This window comes from Homo sapiens, chromosome 4 (genome assembly GCF_000001405.40).
Source record: "Homo sapiens chromosome 4, GRCh38.p14 Primary Assembly".
NCBI lineage: Eukaryota > Metazoa > Chordata > Mammalia > Primates > Hominidae > Homo > Homo sapiens.
Window position 1 is genome coordinate 12418795 of NC_000004.12, and position 3885 is coordinate 12422679.

The 3885-nt window shown below is 37.1% G+C and overlaps 1 annotated feature.

Annotated features, from left to right (window-relative positions):
* Positions 2288-3487: an enhancer, noted in NCBI's record as "P300/CBP strongly-dependent group 1 enhancer chr4:12422706-12423905 (GRCh37/hg19 assembly coordinates)". NCBI's record gives its function as "activates an origin of replication core promoter dependent on BRD2, BRD4, P300/CBP, MED14 and CDK7 cofactors, with strong dependence on P300/CBP, by STARR-seq in HCT116 cells {active_cell/tissue: HCT116}" and the evidence as "EXISTENCE:reporter gene assay evidence [ECO:0000049][PMID:35650434]".

Consider the following 3885-nt stretch of genomic DNA (forward strand, 5'->3'; position numbering starts at 1 on the left):
AGTAATATATCCTCTTCTATCCTGCTCCCTCACTCTGAGATTCCTATATTCACAGTAATATGATCTAAAAAAAAGATTGTAAATTTTGGGATGTAATACAACTATGTGCAAATCTCAGCTCTCCAAAATACTAGCTGTGCAAACCTAGAAATTTTCATGACTTTTCTGAGTCTTCCTCATCTATAAAAAGGGAATCATGGCAGCCACCTTTCAGGCAAAATATGAAACTTACATGACACTTAGTAGGCCCTTAGGAAAGTCTGGTTGCTATCATCTTCATTCGTGCTCTTTAATCTAATGTGACCTTTTTTCTACAGAAGAGCAAATGGGTCCATTGAGGAACCTATTTGGGCTTGCCCAAAATGCCTTAGCAAGATAAAGAAGTGGTACTAATGGCTCCTGACCATTAGGCTGAGGCCTGCATCTTCACTGTTTCATATATTTTTCCTTTCTTCTCAATGTGCTGATATGCAAATGCTCAGGTAAGCCACTCCCTGCTGCTTCTCTTCTGCTAGTGCTGTCAGCAAATCCTCCAGGTCACGTAGCTTTATTCCTGCCATCACCAGCAGCTTGCATATGCCATGCTTATATGTGTGGAAGATATGTCTGTACTTTGTTAGCCTCAAGCTACATATTAAATCTTATCTTCTGTTTTGTTGACTTAACTGCAAAGGGAAACTACACTTGTATATTATTTCTAAGTATTTATAGATATAATTTTTAATACACACAATCTTGTCTGGTATATTCTTCATTCTAACACTAGTCAGTTGGATTTTTATTTACTATTTAATTTTATAAACAGCATAGTAATAGTCATCTTTGGGTATACAGAAATATTGTGTATAGACAAATTTTCTTAATTTCAATTTCCTATATGATGATGGTCATAATACAAATTGCCATCATTCATTGGTTTTTTAATTCTAAGTTTGCACTGAGCACTTCACATGCTCACTGAATACAAAGAGAATACACACCCACTCACTGAATATGCATGACAATTCTGCTAGATTGTGCTATTGTTCTTCCCATTTTTAACAGATTAGAAAAGTGATGTTCAAAGATACTAAGGGCCCTGTCAAGGTCACTCAGCTAGTAAGTGGAAGTACCAGAATGAGGGCCAGGTCTGCCAGAGTTCAGGGTCTGTGAATACACCTTATTATATTATTGTGGCCTGCATATGTTTTAAAAGACACAAAAATATAAAAGGCCTATAAAATCTTAAAAAAAAAAATAAAACACACACGCAACAAGAAGTTAACAAATTATCTGAAACTTAATCTTGCTATCATCATGGTCTCAATGGGATTTCCTCCTAGAACTCATGCAAAGTGGGAAGTACCTTTTAGGTTTCATTTTTAACTGGAAGAATCTAATAATGAGGATGCAAGACACTAACAGACCCTTTACTGTGAGATTCCTCGAGATGTGAGAATGTTGCCATCTCCCTAGCAATTGCTAAATGTTTAAACAAACCACTGTATGGGTGTTACTAGCAAGGGAGAGAGTTCTAAGATTCTGTAAGTATTCTGAGGACAAAAACAGATTTAAAAAAACAACAATTTAAGGATGACAGAAAATAAACAATGCAGCTGAAACCAATTATCAGAGTGCTGCTGACAATATTCAATTGAAAATGCCCTTTAAAAAAAACAACAACATATACAACCATTTATATCTGGTCAACAAAGCCAATATCCAGGCCTTCAAAAGACAAAACCCCTTGCCATTTAGAGGAGGATACAGGAGTCACACTAACACAGCAACAGTGAATGATTGAATAAAATTACAGAATTGAGTATTTGACCATGAACCATGCACTGTTTTTTAGGCTGAGGACTGAGTCATCAATGGAGCCTCAATAGCAGGAAAGTTTTATAGAAGAAGCAGAGATTGCTCATATGATTCTGTAGAATTTAGGTGCAAGAAAGGTAATTTGGGTTTACCTGGTCCAACTCACTCTCTGAGCCACATCAAACTGCTCTGACTCTGTGACTTGAAGATGTGAAAGGAAAAGAAATCTCAGGACCCCAAAAGCATCAAGCCAAAGGGAAAACTCAGCCTGGGAACTGCCTTGGGCAAACCTGCCTCCCATTCTATTCCTAAATAAGATAGCTACAGAGAGAGAGAGAGAGAAGGAAGGAAGGAAGGAAGGAAGGAAGGAAGGAAGGAAGGAAGGAAGGAAGGAAGGGAAGGAAAACCTACATATCTCTGTCACAATTAGCCCACAAGGAAATTCCTCATGGAAAAAGGACTGACAGAATTCTAAGTCATCCCTCTGCTCAAGTGAGACAAATGCATATCCAATTGCTTCCTTTACCCTATCATTTCACTAAGCTAGACTATGGCACAAGTGGCTATTCCTGTAAATTGTGTATTCAGCTAAAGGCTAATCAGAAACTCAAAAGAATGCAACTATTTATCTATTTTCTACCTATGATTTGGAAGCTCCCTCCCTGCTTCAACTTGTCCCTCCATTCCAGACAGAACCAATGTACATCTTACATATATTGATTGATGTCTCATGTCTCCCTAAAATATAAGTAAAGCAAGCTGTGTCCCTACCACTGTTAAATATAGTGAATTCCAAGTTTATCTTCAAAGAATCAGTATGTCAGTATGTTCAGCTCTCTTATTCTTTGTTCTCCATTTTAAAGTTTAACTTCCTGGTTCTCTTCATCCTCTTGCCTCTAGTTTCAGTAAACAACTTACCCGCCAGTTCTAATCAGTAATTCACATCTGTTCCCCTGGTCACCTGCTTTGACCTGAGTCACCCCTGGTCACCTGCTCCATACTGACTCATCCTGAGTCACCTGTTCTGTAACTGTCCTTCCTGCCAAACTACTCACCCTGCCACTTTGACTCGTACCCCTCTCTCTTTAAAATAACCAATCGTAATTAGCGTAGACTGTGTGGTCCAATCCTAGCCAATAGGGGAACAACACAGCAGCAGAGGCTACCTGCGTCAGGAATAAGAATCCCCTCCCCTCCCTTGTTCAGGTATTCTCTTTCCATCGTTCCATCCACAAGTCACATGCTTCTATAGAAGTAAAGTTGCCTTGCTGAGAAAAATTCTTGGTGTGCTAGTTCTTCTTTTTGGCACCAAGGAACAAGCATTTGTTTCTAACACTACCTTAACCTTGGCAAAATAAAATTTCTAAATTGACTGAGACTTGTCTTAGATGTTTTGGATTCACAAATTGGTGACAAATGGAAGGGACATTGAGTGGAGGTGGCCCTAACCTTTGGCAAATCTCCTATCAGTGCTTGGTACCAACTTGAGCTCTTTATGGCTCAAATCAATAGGACAAATTGCTGAAGCTTTGGAGCCCCCCGCTTTCTCTAGAGAATCTTTAATCTCCCCAATTTAGTTGACATCCAAAGTTTGTTTTGCTGTAAAACTCCTTTTCTGGAGTCAAGAGACTTCATACGTATCTCTACCAAATACTATAAGGGGTCAAAATTTGAAATAAGAGTTATTAAAATATAAACCCAGACCAAAACAGAATGACCTTTGCTTGTGTAATTTTTGATAAATAAGACATTAATATTGGTTTAATGAAAATAGCTAAAACTTGAATTATTTTGTAAAATAATCATGTATCTAAACTTAAGGTTCTCACTTAGGTAAACACCTGAAATCCACAAGCTATAAAATGGTTGACAGGAAAGTAACATTAAATGATAACTATTGCAGGTTTCGTAAATAATCTAGGTAAACTATTAAAATAAAATAATTATGGAAATGTAATGAAATAAGTACTTGTAGATAAACTTGTCATAATTTAGAATCTAAACTTATATTCAGGTAAATAATAGACATTTCATTAAATGGATATTTTTCAATTAAAAAATGTACACATGTAGGAAAACATTCTTTCT